The sequence below is a fragment of the Homo sapiens genome, chromosome 11 (assembly GCF_000001405.40).
Source record: "Homo sapiens chromosome 11, GRCh38.p14 Primary Assembly".
NCBI lineage: Eukaryota > Metazoa > Chordata > Mammalia > Primates > Hominidae > Homo > Homo sapiens.
The window spans coordinates 78,451,955-78,470,778 of NC_000011.10; the positions used below are offsets into that span (position 1 = coordinate 78,451,955).

The 18,824-nt window shown below is 40.9% G+C and overlaps 1 protein-coding gene across 25 annotated transcripts in view, besides 4 other annotated features; it reads right to left on the bottom strand.

Annotated features, from left to right (window-relative positions):
* Positions 1-18,824, bottom strand: part of NARS2 (asparaginyl-tRNA synthetase 2, mitochondrial) — a 138,897-nt gene that overhangs the window by 15,987 nt on the left and 104,086 nt on the right. For 15 of the 25 annotated variants that reach the window (NR_189155.1, NR_189156.1, NM_001425314.1 and 12 more), the window contains 2 exons: positions 17,293-17,359; positions 13,922-14,059 (listed from right to left, as the gene is read on the bottom strand). The exons of 1 other annotated variant lie outside the window; for it this stretch is intronic. Coding sequence is in view for 20 of the 24 variants with exons in the window: in NM_001425314.1 (NP_001412243.1) it covers positions 13,922-14,059; positions 17,293-17,359 (205 nt within the window). In the remaining 4 variants the exon portion in view is untranslated. Of the gene's footprint in view, positions 1-2,015; positions 5,453-13,921; positions 14,060-15,457; positions 15,581-17,292; positions 17,360-18,824 lie in introns of those variants that run through there. 9 more of the 25 variants (NM_001425310.1, NM_001425299.1, NM_001425304.1 and 6 more) reach the window with 7 other exon arrangements.
* Positions 13,516-13,565: an enhancer, noted in NCBI's record as "active region_5324". NCBI's record gives its function as "activates an Ori minimal core promoter by ATAC-STARR-seq in GM12878 lymphoblastoid cells {active_cell/tissue: GM12878}" and the evidence as "EXISTENCE:reporter gene assay evidence [ECO:0000049][PMID:35858748]".
* Positions 13,736-13,975: an enhancer, noted in NCBI's record as "active region_5325". NCBI's record gives its function as "activates an Ori minimal core promoter by ATAC-STARR-seq in GM12878 lymphoblastoid cells {active_cell/tissue: GM12878}" and the evidence as "EXISTENCE:reporter gene assay evidence [ECO:0000049][PMID:35858748]".
* Positions 14,086-14,145: an enhancer, noted in NCBI's record as "active region_5326". NCBI's record gives its function as "activates an Ori minimal core promoter by ATAC-STARR-seq in GM12878 lymphoblastoid cells {active_cell/tissue: GM12878}" and the evidence as "EXISTENCE:reporter gene assay evidence [ECO:0000049][PMID:35858748]".
* Positions 15,372-15,539: a silencer, noted in NCBI's record as "fragment chr11:78178372-78178539 (GRCh37/hg19 assembly coordinates)". NCBI's record gives its function as "represses an EF-1alpha promoter that drives an FKBP-Casp9 reporter gene in an ReSE screen in HepG2 liver carcinoma cells {active_cell/tissue: HepG2}" and the evidence as "EXISTENCE:reporter gene assay evidence [ECO:0000049][PMID:32094911]".

Genomic DNA, 18,824 nt, shown 5'->3' on the forward strand with positions numbered 1-18,824 from the left:
CTTAAGCAAGCTGGAGCACATCACCTTTGCCCTGGGAAATGAGCTGCAAGCTTTTGAACTTCCTGTTACGAAGTATCCATATCTTTTAGTTAGATGACCAAACACATACTTATTTATGAGTTTCAACTATGATTCTTTTTTTAAATTTTTCAATTTTTTTTTTAAATTTTTTTGAGATGGAGTCTCACTCTGTTGCCAGGCTGGAGTGTAGTGGTGCGATCTCACTCACTGCAACCTCTGCCTCCCAGGTTCAAGAGATTTTCCTGCCTCAGCCTCCCGAGTAGCTGGGACTACAGGAGCTCGCCACCATGCTCAGCTAATTTTTTATATTTTTAGTAGAGAAGGGATTTCACCATGTTGGCCAGGCTGGTCTCGATCTCTTGACCTTGTGATCCACCTGCCTCGGCTTCCTAAAGTTCTGGGATTACAGGCGTCAGCCACCGTGTCTGGCCGATTTTTTTTTTTATTTTTGAGACAGGGTCTCACTCTGCCACTCAGGCTGGAGTGCAGTGGTATGAGTGTGGCTCAATGCCGCCTTGACCTCCCAGGCTCAAGCAATCCTCCTAACTCAGCCTCTCTGAGTAGCTAAGATTACAGGCACAGGTTACCACACCAGGTTAATATTATTTTTTTTTGTACAGACAGGGTCTCAATTTGTTGCCCACACTGGTCTCAAACTCCTTGGCTCAAGCGATCTTCCTGCTTCTACCTCCCAAAGTGGTGGGATGACAGGCATGAGTCACCATGCCCAGCTCTATGATTATTTCTAAGATGATAAATAATGGCATAGGAACCCTCCAAATAATTCAGCCTTCCTATATTACTCTTTTTCTTGGAACTTCAATTAACCACAGCCAAAAATCAGCCATAAACTTGAATTTTTAAAAGTCCTTCTGAATGGACAATCGTCTGTACTTTATGGAAAAAGATATAATTCAAAGAGAAAGGAAGGTAGGACCAGAAGATACACATAGTTTATCTGTAGGTCTGGCGGTTACCGGGAGTAATGAGTTACATAATGAACAGGAACCAGAACTAAATCTATCATTAAGGAATTCACTGGTTGCAGAGCAAAACTTCTTTAAAGTTGACCAAATTTGAGCACTTTTGCAACTAAAAATCTCTATTGTGTTTCTGTGCATCGTTGGGAGGCTTGAACTAAGCAGAAGGAGTTTAGCTCTGCCGACCTTTTACTCTCCTACACAGGTAACAATGGAGACTACAGATCATTTTCCTAAGCTTTCCCTAATTCCTCTATTCCTTAACAAAACCAATTCCACTTTGGGTACATCTTGTAGGCCCAGAATGCTCTCTGACACATCTTCCTCCAGTTAATATGAGTTTTGATTCTGCTTAAGTCACACAGCTGCAGTGGCATGCTGTCTAGAAATAGTTTGTGTTGGTATTCAAGCTGAACAAACCCTGATTTCTATTTATGACACTCCCTTCTGACTCTTTGATTCCAATCAATGCACTGAAAATAAAACTCAGACCCTGAATTAAAAAAAAAACATAGGCTAGATAGGAACAAGGCTTACAATACATAACCTTGTCCACGCTAAAGCTGAAAGAGGGAAAAAGTTTAATGGCCCTTCCTCTGCCACCTCTCTTCTCACCTATCTCAGTATTTTTAAATATTGATGAAAACCACAAATTGAACGCCTCCTTATTCAGTTTCTCACAGGCTGTTACCAACAATGGGGCAAGGTTACACACTAGTATCAGAAGAAAAAGAATGTTCCACAAACCATAGGAAACATGTTTGTGGTTTTTGCTGTAACTGCTGAAATACACAGTATTTTGGCCCTAAAAACAAACTAGGTACAATTAGGAAAGAGGGCTTTCCAGATGTGATGGTGAAGAGATGCAGATGGGCTGCAGGCAACAATGACTGAAAATGGACTTTGGCTACTATAATGGCTAGCCAGTTTTACTACTGCTGCTGTCTGAAAGAGGCAAAAGTCTTACATTTTGCAAAGATACTACTAATGGCTTCAAAGGAATGAAATTCTTACCTTGCTCCCAAACATGTATTCCCTTTCCCTCATGGTCAAGACTGTTTTACCACATTGCTTCCTTCCTTAGTGAGCTCTAAATTTCAAGTGAACCAGAAGAAAACATCAGTTGAGAACTCCACAAAGGTTCACTTATGAGTTCCTCCACTTGAGAGAGGACAACATTTCAGTAAACGGCACCACTCTACTTTTTATAATTAAAGTATGACCTATGGGAATGACTTGTGACTCTTCTCTCTTCCTTATCTTTTCTTTCTAGTTTATTTCATAGACTGATATGGTTTGGATATTTGTGCCCTCCCAAATTCACGTTGAAATGTGACCCTCTAATATTGGAGGTGGGGCCTAGGGGCAGGTGTTGGATCATGGGGGTGGCCTCCTCATGAATGGCGTTGTGCCATTCCGATGGTAATGGCTTCTTGCTCTATTAGTTCACATGAGAACTGGTTGTTTAAAACAGACTGACATCGCTTCCCTTCTTTCTTGCTCTCTGTTTTGCTGTGTGACATGCCTGTTCCCTCTTTGCCTTTTTGTCATGAGTAAAAGCTTCCTGAGGCCACACCAGAAGCTGAGAAGTTGATGCCATTCTTGTACAGTCTGCAGAACCACGAGCCAAATAAAACTCTTTGTTTTATAAATTACCAAGTCTCAGGTGTTTTTTTTTTTTTTAATGTAGCCTCATTCTGTCGCCTGGGCTGGAGTGCAGTGGCGTGATCTCGGCTCACTGCAACCTCCACCTCCCGGGTTCAAGCGATTCTCTTGCCTCAGCCTCCCAAGTAGCTGGGATTATAGGCACCTGCCACTACGCTCAGCTAATTTTTCGTATTTTTAGTAGAGACAGGTTTCACCATGTTGGCCAGGCTGGTCTCGAACTCCTGACCTTGTGATTTGCCTGCCTTGGCCTCCCAAAGTGCTGGGATCACAAGCATGAGCCACCGTGCCCAGCCAGTCTCAGGTATTTTTTTATAGCAACTTAGAGCAACTCTATTTCAGTAAAATGGACTAACACACAGACCACTGTTTATTCCTTCAGAATGTTTTAGGTTCATTTCTTTCTCTCCATTTTCACTGTTGAGATTATAAGCAAAAGTCCCATAATTATCTTATGTGTCTTTAATTCCCCCCTTCCCCAATCCATTCTATATGTCAGGTTAATTTTTTCATCTTGCCAGTATCTTAGAATACATACAATGCCTCTCTGTTTTTTACTGGATAAAGCCCAAGCTATCTGTAACACTCCAATCTCTCCATAATTGTTCCTATCTTGTCTAGCCATCTTTATCACCCAATAATTCCTTACTCCATTATTTTTATAGCATAGAATTTTAATTTTTAAAGCAATTTTAAAAACATTTGTTCATCTGATTTCCACAACAAACCTGTGATGATACAAGTGTGTAATTCCCTTTTAAAGTAAACTTAAAGTATAAAATATGTGTAAAAAGTACACAAATAACTAGTATACAGTTCTATAAATTTTCACAAACACACCATGAAGCACCATACGGATCAATAAACTGAACAATAGCAGTACCCCAAAAAAGTCCTCCTAAGGTCTTCTTTTAGTTACTACCCCTACCAAAAGTAACCTCTTTCCTGACCTCTATCACCAGAGATTGACTATGATCCCCTGAGAATACTGAGGACAAGAAAGATCAAGTGGTATATCCAGGAACAAAACCCAAGTCTCCTGGCTCTAAGTCCATAGCTCTTCCTGCCACCCCACACAAACTCTTCACTCCCAGAAAGATCAGGATTCTAATGAAGCTGCCATATATGCTGTATTTCTGCCTTTACAGCCTAGCTTCAATACCTGCTAGCGGTGTGATTTTGCATGAGTGACTATACTGCTGCACTGAGAGGTAGCAGCCTCATCTGTAAGAAAGGGATAAAAGTTAATTATCGGCACATACTCGATAAACATTATTGTTTTCTCTTTTGAATGTTTTAACGTTATGCTTGCCACACGGGTACTCAATAATAGATGTCAATTTGGAACGTCAAAAATTTAATCTTTGTTAATCTTTTCTTCCATTTTCCTCTGTCTACCATGTTTTAAGTAATCTCTAATCTTACAAAGTTAATCTTATTTAGTTAAGTGAGACAATATAAATAATTTCTCAACTCCCTAAATGTCTTTTCCTTGCTACTTTTAATAATGAAGATTCCTCGACACTCTTACTCTACCAAAAGACTTAGGAGGCATTTACGTTCACTTTTATCTCAGTTGCTTTAACCAAACTTGTTCAATTAAGACACACTGGGAAGACTGAAATGGGAGAAACAGTTTGGTAACAAAACCTTAGAAGTCTGTATCACACACATAAAAGGATTTCTCTTCCCTATGTTCCCTAACTCTACAATTCAAAGTATTAATATAAAATATGTCATGATAAAGAATCTCAAAGTATTTTACGACAGACTGAAATGGATACTTTCAATTTTGACAAAAATTTCTAGGATTCTCTTTAGTCCTAGATATGGGGAAAATTGGCAATTCCCTTCATCACTATTTCTGTTGGTTGGTGGCTCGAGCTATTTTGATGCAGGTTGGTTAATTAGCCACAGCTCTGGGAAATTTATTGCACACCCCTTGGCTGAGTATTCTCCTTTCTGAGTTGACTTCACAGTATGTACTTTACTGAATGCCCACTAATGCTGACCTTTCTCTGGTTTGCTAAGTAATACTGATATAATTTTGAAAATTAGAACACTACCTGGTGATTGTGGCATCTCATCAAGGACTGAGGGGCAGTCACTTTTTCCTAATTACACGTGTGTAGAATAAAAGACTATTCTTCTCTGTGAAGCCACTCCCCCAGCTGAACATCTGCCACCTGGCTTTGAGGGACTTACCTGGAGACCAGCCTCAGAGGCATATGGCATTTTGCATATTTGCTTAGATTCATTTTCCCATGATCTGTCCCTTTCAAATGATCAAATATGCTCAGTAATTTATAAGTTAGTCTTATCCATGCATATGAAGAAAAACTTAGGCTACAGGAAATCAGAGAATCTTAGAGAGGTAATACTTTAGAGGTCACTTAATCCAATTCTCTGATTATACAGAGGGAGAAATTGAGGCTGAAAGATCACAGAGACTTGCCTGAGGTGACACAGGTAACTAGTAAGGTATCTAGATTTCAAACCCAGAACCACTCTGCATCCTGTGTACTTTTCAGTACACCACAGCGCATACCTTCATTTCTACTGAGAGGTGGGGAGAAAGGAAGATAAATTATAACTGTAAAAACATACCATTTTACTATTTATTACCCTCTGGCCAAAAGTTACAAGTGTAGATTAGATATTTCCCCATCCTTCTCTTTTGGTTCCCTAAAGAAGGCACCTATGAAACACACCTGTCTTATTTTTTTCAAGACTGCACTGCATCCATTACAGGAACTCTTGCGAACTTACAGCCAGTTATTACAGCCCTACTAAAAGAAACAGAATTTAGTCATCTGGCCCAAAGCTTCTTCCTTCACCAGAAAACAACAAATGAGGGATAGAAGCAGGCACTTCATACAAATGGATTGAAAAGAAATGTACACTGCTAATGTACCAATGTTATTCTCTATGGCTAATGTAACAAGTTTAAATAAATTATATTTGAATAGTTTAGCTCTGAGAAGCTATATACTCTAGTACTGCATAAATTATGGAAGTATGTTAAAGTCCCAGTATAACGCCTTTAGGGTGTGAGACCACATTACTAGAGAGACTGTGTCATAATGAAGGTTTCCCAGTACTGTTGAAGGTAAGATACTTGTGAGTGCGATCTATGAGAGAACTACCTTTTAAGGAATCTTATGTTATTATGTAACAACACACACACACACACACACACACACACACAAACACACACACACACATTGTACTTTATCATAAGATTTTATCAAAATTTAAAGTCAGGCACAGATAAATATTGCATGTTCTCATTCATATGTGGGAATAAAACATTTTTTGAGCTCATGGGAAATAGTAGAACAGTGTGTAACGGGGGCTTGGAAGGGTGGGGAGAGGTTGGTTAGTAGATACAAAATTATAGCTAGATAGGAGGAATGAGTGCTGGTATTCTGCAGCAATATAGGGTGAATACGGTTAACTACAATTTATTGTATATTTTCAAAAAGGTGGATGAGAGGATTTTGAATGTTCACAACACAAAGAAATGAAAAATGTTTGAGGTGACGAATATGCTAATTACCCTAATTTGATCAGTATTATATACATACACCAAAATACCATTCTATATTCCATAAATACATACAATTATTACATGTCAACTAAACATGAAAGGGGAAAAATTTTATTAAAATTTAGAAAGTAGGAAGAGACAACTTCATACCTATTGACTACCTACTTCCTAAAACACAGCTATCTACTTTTCTTATATTACTTGATTTAATCCTCACAACTCCATAATATATTATGGTCTCATTTTTACAGATCAGGAAATTAAGACACAAAAAGATTAGGTGGCATATGTAAAATCACATAGTTTATAATACACAGAGGTGGGGTGGGGACTTGAACCCAAGAGTGTCTAACTCTATAGCCACTAGACTTTCCTTTATGCTATGTTGCTACCACTCACAAAATTAAAGATGCTTTTTAGCTTCCCAGCAAATTCACAGCAGATCAACTCACTACTCGTCGACAGTGTGTCTTAAACTTTGTTGGATTTGATTCATTAATCCATTCATCCATCCACCACACGGATACTAGGTGTCCACCACGTCCCAGGCATTACACTAGGAATATACCGATGAATGAAAAAGAAGTTGATATGGTTTTGCTGGGTGTCCCCACCCAAATCTCATCTTGAATTGTACTTCCATAATTCCCACTTGTTGTGGGAGATAACTGAATCATGGGGATATTTTCCCCATACTGTTCTTGTGGTAGTAAGTCTAAGGAGATCTGATGGTGGGTTTTTTTTTTGTTTGTTTGTTTGTTTTTTTGAGATGGAGTCTCGCTCTGTTGCCCCGGCTGGACTGCAGTGGTGTGATCTCAGCTTACTGCAACTCTGCCTACTGGGTTCAAGCAATTCTCCTGTCTCAGCCTCCCGAGCTGGGACTACAGGTGCCTGCCACCATGCCTGGCTACTTTTTGTATTTTTAGTAAAGACGGGGTTTCACCTTGTTGGTCAGGCTGGTCTCGAACTCCTGACCTCAGGTGATCCACCAGCCTTGACCTCCCAAAGTGCTGGGATTACAAGCATGAGCCACGGCGCCGGTCAATCTGATGATCTGATGGTGGTTTTTTTTGTCGTTGTTTTTTTTTTGTTTTGTTTTGTTTGTTTTTTTTAAATTGAGACAGAGTTTTGCTCTTGTTGCCCAGGCTGGAGTACAATGATGCAATCTCGGCTCACTGCAACCTCTGCCTCTCGGGTTCAAGCGATTCTCCTGCCTAAGCCTCCCAAGTAGCTGGGATTACAGGTGTGTACCACCACGCCCAGCTAATTTTGTATTTTTAGTAGAGACGGGGTTTCTCCATGTTGGTCAGGCTGGTCTTGAATCCCCTGCCTCAGGTGATCCACCCGCCTCGGCCTCCCAAAGTGCTGGGATTACAGGAGTGAGCCACCGCGCCCAGCCGATCTGATGGTTTTATGAGGTGTTTCCGCTTTCACTTCTCTCTCATTCTCTCTTGCTGCTGCCATGTAAGAAGTGCCTTTCACTTTCTGCCATGACTGTGAGGCCTCCCCAGCCATGTGGAACTGTGAGTCCATTAAACCTCTTCTTCTTTCCCGTCTTGGGTATGTCTTTATCAGCAGCATGAAAATGGACTAACATGGAAGTCCTCACGTCTTTTGACATAGAGGAAAGTGTCATTAATTAAATAGTCATGCACATAGATGTAAAATTACAACTGTTAAAGGTTATGATGGATTAAGAGTTAGTATCTCTGGGTGTGAAACTTAACATGGTACGACTGCAGCATCTAACAGGGGCCTCTGACTCAGACTAGAGGGTCAAGAAAGGTTTCTCTGAGGAAATGGTGATTGAGTATAAACATCAGTAAGCAAAATTATTTAGATGAAGAAGACTGTTCTAGATTGAAGGAATAATATACGCAGAGTCTGAGGTGAGAGAAAGAACTGCACGTCTGAAGACACAGAAGAAGGGTGGTGATAGGAGAGAACAAAGTGGAGTCCCACAGTATAACAGACTAGAGAAGGAGACACAGCCACATTCTACTAGGCATTGTAGGCGACATAAAGGATTTTGGCTTTTATCCTAAGAGCAAAGGGAGGCCACTGAATGGCTTTAAGAAGAGTGACAACATGATTGGGTTAATTTTTTTTTTTTTTTAATGGGGATGGAGTCTCATTATGCTGTCCAGGCTGGTCCGGAACTCCTGGGATCAAGTGATCTGTGCACCTCAGGCTCCCAAAGTGCAGGGATTACAGGCATGAGCAACTGTGCCCAGCCAGGATTTACATTTTATAAAAACTCACACTAAAATGGGAGAACTGATTCAGAAGAGGAAAGAATGGATATATGAAGATCAGTTAGGAGGCTATTAGTCTAGGCAGTATCTTAATCTGAAAAGGTAAAAGAGGAAATGAAGAGAAATGAATGGATGTGAGAGATATTTAGGAGCGCAAAACTGACAGAACTTAGTCAATGGAGGAAATGAGAAAGGAAGACTTCTGAGATGACTCAGGTATCTGGCATGTACAATTAGATGAATACAGAATATTGAAAGAAGATCAAATTTGCTGGGAGGAGAGGAGAAATCATAGGTTCAGTTTTGGATGTGTTGTGTTTGAGATGCCTTTGAGATATGTAAATGGCAGTCAATGAGGCAGTCAATGAGTCAGCCCTCTGTATTCAGAGGTTCTGCATTTGTGGATTCAACCAACAGCAGATTTAAAATATTCAGGAAAAACAAATAGATGGTTGTATCTGTAACTAACATGTACAGATTTTTTTCTTGCCATTATTTCCCTAAACAATACAGCATAACAACTATTTACACAGCATTTACATTGTATTAGGTATTATAAGTAACCTATAAATTATTTAAAGTATACAGGAGGATGTGCATAGGTGATACGCATACTACGTCATTTTACATAAGGGACTCATTAGTATCCTCGAATTTTGCTATCTGAGAGGGGGCTAGTGGGTAGGGTGTCCTGGAACCAATCCCTGAGGATACTGAGGGACGAATGTATATGAGTCTAGAGCTCAGAGAAGAAGTCTGGATTAGAGATAAAAACTTCTGAGAGAATAAACAGTAAGCAATAGATACAGATGAAATAACATGAGGAAAATAAAGACCACCAAGGACTGGGCCTTGAGGAATTCCAACACCTGATGAATAGATAGAAATGGATAAATCTGTACAGGAGACTAAGAAAGAATAAATGCTGAGAAAGGAGAAAAACAGGGATAATGTGATGTCACAGAAGTCAAGGGAGTAGAGGGTTATAAGAATAAAAAAGTCATTAATAGTGCTGATTAGCACTGACCGGCCAAGTAAAATAAAGACTTAAAAGTCTGCTGGATTTAATAACATGAAGATCATTACTGATCCTAACAAGAGCTACTTCAACGGTGTGATAGGGGTGGAAACTACAAAGAAGTAGGAGTATAGAATGAGTGGGAGATGCTGTGCTGGTAAAAAAAAAAAAAAAAAAAAAAAAAAAAATTCAATACCCATCCTAAAGTTGTTCAGTTTTGTTTAGGAAAGCAAACTTTCATGCCTGTAATCCAAACACTTTAGGAGGCTGAGGCGGATGGACTGCCTGAGCTCAGTTTGAGACCAGCCTGGGCAACACTGTGAAATCCCGTACCCACTACAAAAAAAAAAAAAAAAAAAATTAGCCGGGTGTGGTGGCATGCGTCTGTAGTCCCAGCTACTCGGGAGGCTGAGGCAGGAGAATTGCTTGAACCCGGGAGACAGAGGGTGCAATGAGCCAAGATCGTGCCATTGCACTCCAGCCTGGAAGACAGAGCAAGATTCCGTCTTTTAAAAAAAAGAAAAGAAAGAAAGCAAAACTCATTAAGAGATTACAGAATATAGACACAATGCTATAGTTTCGCTAATTCGCAACAAAAATCCAAAAAAGGAAGGCTCAAAGTAGCTGGGTAACCCAGAAAAATCTTTATAGAGAAGAAAATTCTTAAGCAAAGTACTTAAGTACAAAATTGAGTGACTGAAAGATGCTTAATCTAGGGAAATTAAATGAGAAAAATACATGGTGTGTGTGTTGGAGGGGGAGCTGGAATTGGAATGGGCTGGAGTGATGAAAAAAAGCCAACAGATACAGTCTTCTGTTTTGTAATATAGGCTCAATACTAAATTATGTAGGACTAGATAATCTAGGTCCTAATGTCTCCTTTTTGCTGGCAACCTGGGGGCCAATTACACTAGAGGGTTGGTAGAAAAAAGAGAATATAAGAATCATACATCAATTATGTTGCTCACTAGTTTTGGATGATTTTGTGTGAAAGGTGAGGATGAGTAAAATAAATGGCTAAAAAGTAATTTTATATTATTTGTGATTTTTAGGCAGTTGGAAGAAGTGGAAAAAAACACAGACTTTATAAAACAGTCTGCAGTCTAGAAAAAAATACATATATTTTAAAAATACACTTTAAAGCTAAAGAGAATCAGGAGTGAATACTAACTACTTACTATCTACGTAGCTTTGGAAATGCAATCTATCTCTGCACTCCAGTTTTTCATTTATAAAATGGGGAAACAAGCTTCTAAGCAAAGTTGTTTCTGGATTTAGAGATGAGATGGTAGTGCTTGATTCCTAAGCATCTAGTAAACGGTGGCTAATACAGCTGTATTAATACAAAATGAAAAAACAGGAAATACAGTCAAACAGATAACCCTGTATACCTGACAGGGACATTCTGTTTACTAGTGGGCCCTAATCTACATTTTTGTATATTTATCCACAAATAAGTGAAAAGCATCAGACAGTAAAGTGTAGTTTTTGGGCCTATTTTGAAATCAATATAATCTGTCTCATAGACTTTTACAACTAATAATATTACATATATAACTATTCAATAAATATTTAGAAAAGTAAAATATATTCTTACTTTATATTATTGCCAACTTTAAAATTTAATTATTTGTTTTTCACATAGGGGGCTCCCTCTGTCGCCCAGGCTGGAGCACAGTGACACCATTATGGCTCACTGAAGCCTCGAGTTCCTAGGCTCCAGTAATTCTCTCACCTCAGCCTCTTGAGTAGATAGACTACAGGTGCACACCACTACACCTGGCTAATTTATTTTTTGTTGAGATAGGGTCTTCCTATGTTCAACAGGCTGGTCTTGAATTCCTGGTCTCAAGCAATTTTCCCACCTTGGACTACCAAAGTGCTAGGATTACAAACGTGAGCCACTATACCTGGCCATGTTATAGCTAATTTTGTAAAAACCAAAAGAATAAAAAAGGCAGGCCAGGTGCAGTGGCTCACGCCTGTAATCCAAGCACTTTGGGAGGCTGAGGAGGGCAGACTACCTGAGGTCAGGAGTTAAAGACCAGCCTGGCCAACATGGTGAAACCCTGTCTCTACTAAAAATACAAAAATCTGATGGGTGTGGCGGCACACGCCTATAATCCCAGCTACTTGGGAGGCTGAGGCAGGAAAATCACTTGAACCTGGGAGGCAGAGGTTGCAGTGAGCTGAGATCACGCCATTGCACCCCAGCCTGGGTGACAAGAGTGAAATTCTATCTCAAAAAAAAGACAACTATAGTTAAGGTCAAAAAAAAAAAAAAAAAAAAAAAACCACAGGACAAGAAACGGTAAAGGGATGAGAGAGACAAAACAGGCAGACAGAGAAGAGACGGTCAGACAAGAGCTGAGACAGGGAAAATCTGCCTAGACTGCCTGTATCCCTTCATAGCCCTCCCCTCACTATTTCTATTTGATAGTCCAAACCAAAGCAGTCTAAGCCTCCTCCTGCTCTGCCAAGCCAGCTTTTCCTTTGCCTGATTGTGCAGTGTCCGGAATTGGTGGGTTCTTGGTCTCACTGACTTCAACAATGAAGCCGCGGACCCTCACGGTGAGTGTTACAGTTCTTAAAGGCGGCGCGTCCGGAGTTTGTTCCTTCTGATGTTCGGATGTGTTTGGAGTTTCTTCCTTCTGGTGGGTTCGTGGTCTGGCTGGCTCAGGAGTGAAGCTGCAGACCTTCGCGGTGAGTGTTAACAGCTCTTTAGGCGGCGTGTCTGGAGTTCTTCATTCCTCCCGGTGGGCTCGTGGGCTCGCTGGCTTCAGGAGTGAAGCTGCAGATCTTCGCGGTGAGTGTTACAGCTCATAAAGGCAGTGTGGACCCAAAGAGTGAGCAGGAGCAAGATTTATTGCAAAGAGCGAAAGAACAAAACTTCCACAGTGTGGAAGGGGACCCGAGCGGGTTGCTACTGCTGGCTCGGGCAGCCTGCTTTTATTCTCTTATCTGGCCCCACCCACATCCTGCTGATTGGTAGAGCAGAGTGGTCTGTTTTGACAGGGCGCTGATTGGTACATTTACAGTCCCTGAGCTAGACACAAAGGTTCTCCACGTCCCCACCAGATTAGCTAGATACAGAGTGTCCACACAAAGGTTCTCCAAGTCCCCACCAGAGTAGCTAGACAGTGTCCACTGGTGCATTCACAACCCTGAGCTAGACACAGGGTGCTGATTGGTGTGTTTTCAAACCTTGAGCTAGATAGAGTGCTGATTGGTGTATTTACAATCCCTTAGCTAGACATAAAGGTTCTCCAAGTCCCCATCAGAGTAGCTAGAAACAGAGTGTCCACTGGTGCATTCACAAACCCTGAGCTAGACAGAGGGTGCTGTTTGGTGTGTTTACAAACCTTGAGCTAGATACAGAGTGCCGATTGGTGTATTTACAATCTCTTAGCTAGACATAAAGGTTCTCCACGTCCCCACCAGACTCAGGAGCCCAGCTGGCTTCACCCAGTGGATCCCACACTGGGGCTGCAGGTGGACCTGCCTGCCAGTCCCGCGCCATGCGCCTGCACTCCTCAGCCCTTGGGTGGTCAATGGGACTGGGCGCCGTGGAGCAGGGGGCGGCGCTCGTCAGGGAGGCTTCAGCGACACAGGAGCCCACGGAGGGGTGGGGAGGCTCAGGCATGGGGGGCTGCAGGTCCCGAGCCCTGCCCCACGGGAAGGCAGCTAAGGCCTGGCAGGAAATTGAGCACAGCTGCTGCTGGCCCAGGTGCTAAGCCCCTCACTGCCCGGAGCAGGTGGGGCCCGCCGAGCCCACACCCACCTGGAACTCGCACTGGCCCGCAAGCACCGCAGGCAGCCCTGGTTCCCGCCCATGCCTCTCCCTCCACACCACCCCACAAGCTGAGGGAGCCGGCTCCGGCCTTGGCCAGCCCAGAAAGGGGCTCCCACAGTGCAGTGGCAGGCTGAAGGGCTCCTCAAGTGCCGCCAAAGTGGGCGCCAAGGCCGAGGAGGCGCCGAGAGCGAGAGAGGGCTGTGAGGGCTACCAGCACGCTGTCACCTCTCAGTGCCACTGCTCTCATCTCTTGCCCAGTATGCCTTCCCTCCTAGGAGTCTCCTAACCAGTACTTCACCACAGACTAACAAGCTTGGTATAGCCATACAGTGTTCTAGGCCACTTCCTCTCAGTCATTACAAAACAAAACAAAACAAAATGAAACATAACAAAACGAAACAAAGAAAACCTAGATTTGCACCTGCTAAACTAAGAAGAAGACCTTGTGACAGAAATGAGGAAGTACGTTTATAGAACACTGGGATCTTCTTTGGGAAAAATTTTTAAGAGATGTCTTTGAAAAACATTATCATTTTAAGAGATAGAGTGATAGATGACATTTAAGAAAAGATCACAAAGGCTAAATGAAAAACCCAACCTAAGAGGACTAACCCCAATTTATTTAGTATCTCTTCTTACCGTGTGCTGAGGGCCATCTTCATTATCCCTCATGTAGAAAGGCTTGAGTGTTAATGGATAATTAATAACGAAGACAGGTATGTTGCCACAGTGCTTCACCAGGTACTTTTCATGTTCAGTCCGTAGGTCAGCACCCCACTGTAATGAGAAGAAAGAAATGACCAAAAGAGGAGACAGAGGTGAAATATACAATTAAGCAGCTGAAAATAACCTGCATCAATTCTAAGGGCTTCATCTTCCTGAGGCTCCATGTGTGGAGCTAGCTGCTAAGGTTACACAGCTGACTAAACAAGAGAGAGATATTTGTTAACAAGAACACCTACAGGCCTGGAAAGATGAAAGCTGAGGCCAGTAGATAGACACTATGCTTACTGTGTCCCCATTGCTCCCCCACCCCCACCCCCCAGGAGCAGACAATACAGCACCTGCAGGAAAACAAAGTCTACTTTACAAGGAGATAAAAAAAAAAACCTGACTTCAGAATCACAATTTTTAATAGTGCCTACAGCTTCTTCCACGTTATTGTTCCTAAGTCTCAGGAAATTAAATGATAGAAGATAATATTCCTAATATTGAGCCTATCTTTGGCTAAATGACTTCTCTTGGTGACTTTTGTTTTTTTTGAGACAGAGTCTGGCTGTGTCGCCCAGGCTAGAGTGCAGTGGTGCAATCTCGGCTCACTGCAACCTCTGTCTCCCGGGTTCAAGTGATTCTCCTGCCTCAGCCTCCCAAGTAACTGGGACTTCAGGTGCCCGCCACCATGCCCGGCTATTTTTTTTGTATTTTCAGTAGAGATGGGGTTTCACTACGTTGGCCAGGCTGGTCTTGAACTCCTGATTTCGTGATCTGCCCACCTTGGCCTCCCAAAGTGCTGGGATTACAGGTGTGAGCCACAGTGATGGCCGGTGACTTCTTTTTAAATAAAAAGAGTCAACTCATGTATGAGATGCTCTTTGATGAATATTTATTAACTCTGTTCAATATATTTATTAAGCAAATACTAATGTGCCTATTAAATTCCAGGTACCATATGATATACTGGATATAGTGGTAAGAAAAAGTTATAATCCCTGACTTCATGAAGCTTCCAGGGTTAGGAGAAAAAGAAATGAAAACTTACACAAAGAATTGATCATAAATATAACAAACAGAGGTTACTTTTGTAATACATAAAGATCTGACTTAATTGGGATTGAACCGGTACAAGGAATAGTTTAAACACAAAGGTTAACATTATCTTATTACTACCACTTGTTTGGCAGTATCTTAGTTACAGGAAAAAATAACTGGAATAGGAAAAGAGTTTTGCCTCCAACATTATACATATGTCCATTGACAGACCATGTGGTCTCTCTGGACCTATATCATTGCCAATAAAATAAAAAAGCTCTGGCCAGGCATGGTGGCTCATGCCTTTAATCCCAGCACCTTGGGAAGCCGAGGAGTGCTTGAGCACAGAAGCCCGAGACTAGCCTAGGCAACATAACCCTGTCTCTACAAAAAATAAAAAAATCAGCCAGACCTGGTGGCACGCACCTGTAGTCCCAGATAGTTGGGAGACTGAGTTGGGAGGAATGATGAGAGCCTGGGAGGTGGAATCTGCAGTGAGCCATGTTTGCACCACTGCACTCCAGCCTCGGCAACACAGAGAGATCTTGTCTTTCAAAAAATAAATAAATAAATAAATAAATAAATTAATTAATTAATTAAATACAATAAAAAATAAACAAAGGAGTTCCTTCACAGAAAGAGAGAGTTGTACAGTGGTTGTCAGGGGTCTGGGAATGGGGCAAATGAGGTGATATTTGTCAAAGTGTATACACTTTCAGTTATAAGATGAACAAGTTCTGGGGATCTAATGTACAGTGTGGGTAATGACAGATGTGTTAACTAATTTGATTATGATAATCTGTTACACAATGTATACATGTATCAAATCATCATGTCGTATACCCTGAATATATACAATCTTCTTTTGTTGTTGTTCTTCGAGACAAGGTCTTTCTCTGTCACCTAGGCTGGAGGGCTGTAGTCGATCATGGCTCACTGCAATTTTAAACTCCTGGGCTCAAGCAATCCTACCTTGGCCTCTTAAAGTGTTGGGATTACAGGTGTGAACTACCACACCCGGCCTATACAATCTTTGTTTATCAAGTAAGTATTGAAAAAAAAAAAAAAAAAAGAATTCTTGGCTGGGTACTGAGGCATGCTCCTCTAGTCCCAGTTACTTGGCAGGCTGAAGTGGCGGATCCCTTGAGCCTAGGAGTTCAAGATGAGCTCAGGCATCATAACGAGACCTCCATCTCTTAAATATAAAGTTCTTTAAAAGCAAAACAAACAAAAAAACCCCAGTATTTTCCAGAGTGGCTCATAAACTAAAAGGCTCCGTAAAGTTCAACTGAAAAACAAACCTGCTTCTGCAAGCACTAAATCTGAAAAAAAAAAAAAAAAAAGAAAAAAAAGAAAAAGAAAAACACACCTGTTTAGTTATGTTGCCTAAACTTATTTGATAATATAACTTCTTTTGTTGGTCATCTTTTTTTTTTTTTTTGAGATGGAGTCTCGCTGTTGCCGAGGCTGGAATGCAGTGGTGATCTCTGCTCACTGCAGACTCTGCCCCCCGGGTTCATGCCATTCTCCTGCCTCAGCCTCCTGAGTAGCTGGGACTACAGGCGCCCGCCACCTCACCCAGCTAATTTTTTGTATTTTTAGTAGAGACGGGGTTTCACCATGTTAGCCAGGATGGTCTCGATCTCCTGACCTTGTGATCCACCCGCCTCAGCCTCCCAAAGTACTGGGATTACAGGTGTGAGCCACCGCACCCAGCCTGGTCATCTTTTAATGTCATTCAGAATATATTTTGGAAAACACAGAACTAGTTGACTTTTACAGTAATATTCTTTTTTTAAAAATTCACTTTTTTTTTTTTTTTTTTGGGTAGAGACAGGGTCTCACTGTATTGCCCAGGCTGGTCTTGAACTTTGGGGCTCAAGCAATCTGCCTGCCTTGGCCTCCCAAAGTGCTGGAATTATAGGCGTGAGCCCCAACACCTGGTCTCTACAGTAATAGTCTATGATTATCTTTCTTTTTTAGAATTTTCATCTTCCTAAACGTGGGAGACTCCTTTATAACCCTTTAGTCACTGCTATTCCAAATGATAAAATTTATTTTTATTCTTAATTAATTCCGTTTTAAGTATCTCAACAAGATTCAGCAAACATCAAAATCTTAAGTCTGTGTACAAATGAGCAAATGCCATATTTTGCTAATAAGAGAATTAAGATGATTTTGAAAGATTCTTAACACAGTAAGCTAAAGACAAGAAGGAAGCATTTTCACACACACATATATACATACACACAAAATACTACCTCTGGGGTAAAGGTGAAGTTCTGGGATGCTTGCTTTAAGATCTCCACTGCTTCAGTATAAGAAATGCTGGAGGAAAACAGGATACAAGCAGAGAAAAGTCAATACAATGGAGCTGCTAACTAGTTCATTTTAAAACCAGAAAAAGCGTACTCCTATATCACACTGTGAGGTCATGAATAATCAGGAATTAAGGCTGATCTAATCCTATGAAAGAATGATCTGCCTGAAGACAAGTAACCATTCAATAACCTCAACTCCTCATCTACTTGCAATATACACAGTGAAGCTAGTCACTTAAGCAAGTAAAGATTATTCTCTGAATCCATGATATGCCAATGCCCTATTAAAAGACTACAACAGCAAAATACTTTTTCCTAAAATTCACCATTAATTCATTTATTTATCCAACAGACATATACTTGGCACCTACTAGGCACTACACACAATTCTAGGCACTGGAGATAAAAATAAAGCTCAGCCTTCATGGAGACAATGTGCGTGCGCGCATGTGTGTGTCAGAGAGAGAGAGAGCGAGAGATGCAGGTGAGGAGAGAGTAGACAGATAAATAAACAAGTAGCTATTCGTGCTATGAAGAAAAATAAAGTGGAATAAGAAGGCAGAGGGGGTTTGGGGTGCCATTTTAGATATGATGGTCAAGAAAGGCCTAAGTTTGTGACATTTGAACAGAAGCGTGCACCGAGTAAGGAAATGAACCATAGAAGTATCTTGGGAGGAGTATTCCAGGCAAAAGGAACAGCAAGTACAAGGACCTGAAGTGAGAAACAGTTTGGCTTGTTCACAGAACAAAAAGGGCAGTCAGCGTGACTAGAGCATACTGAACAAGAGGAAGAATGCACAGGAAATTACATAGGAAAGGCAGTCAGAAGTCAGATCACATGGACTCTTTCAGGTCATAGTAAGGGCCTGGTAATATATTCTAAGCATTATAAGACTATGTAGGAAAATACTGATTCTCTCCATGAGACACCCTCATGCCTAAAGTAAGTCAAAGCAAGTATTTGTTTTAATTTAACTATGTGAATAGGTAACTTGTCTACATAGTTTTAAAAAAAATCAAGATGTATAAGAGTATACATCTCCCTTCCATTGCGGTTCCAGAGAAACCTAGTTCCTTTCCTTTCACACAATCACTGTTATTGGTATTGTGAACATCCCTCTAGAGGATTTTATTTATACAGATAATGTAAATAATACACAATCTTCCTTTTTTACAGATGTCATACATAACATACACACTCTTTCACACCTAATTTTACTAATATACCTTGCAGATCTGTGTGTATATGAAGACATTCTTCACTTTTTGTATTACATAATATTCTATTTTGTGGATGTGTCATAATTAGTTAACCAGTGACCTGATATTTCACGTTCTAATCTTTTGCTATTATAAAACATGCCTATATATACCTATTTAATATTACAAAGTTATTATACACTGATTTTTCACATGCAAAAGTGGAATTATTAGATGAAAATTTGCAATTTTTATATTTTCTGAAAGGTTTT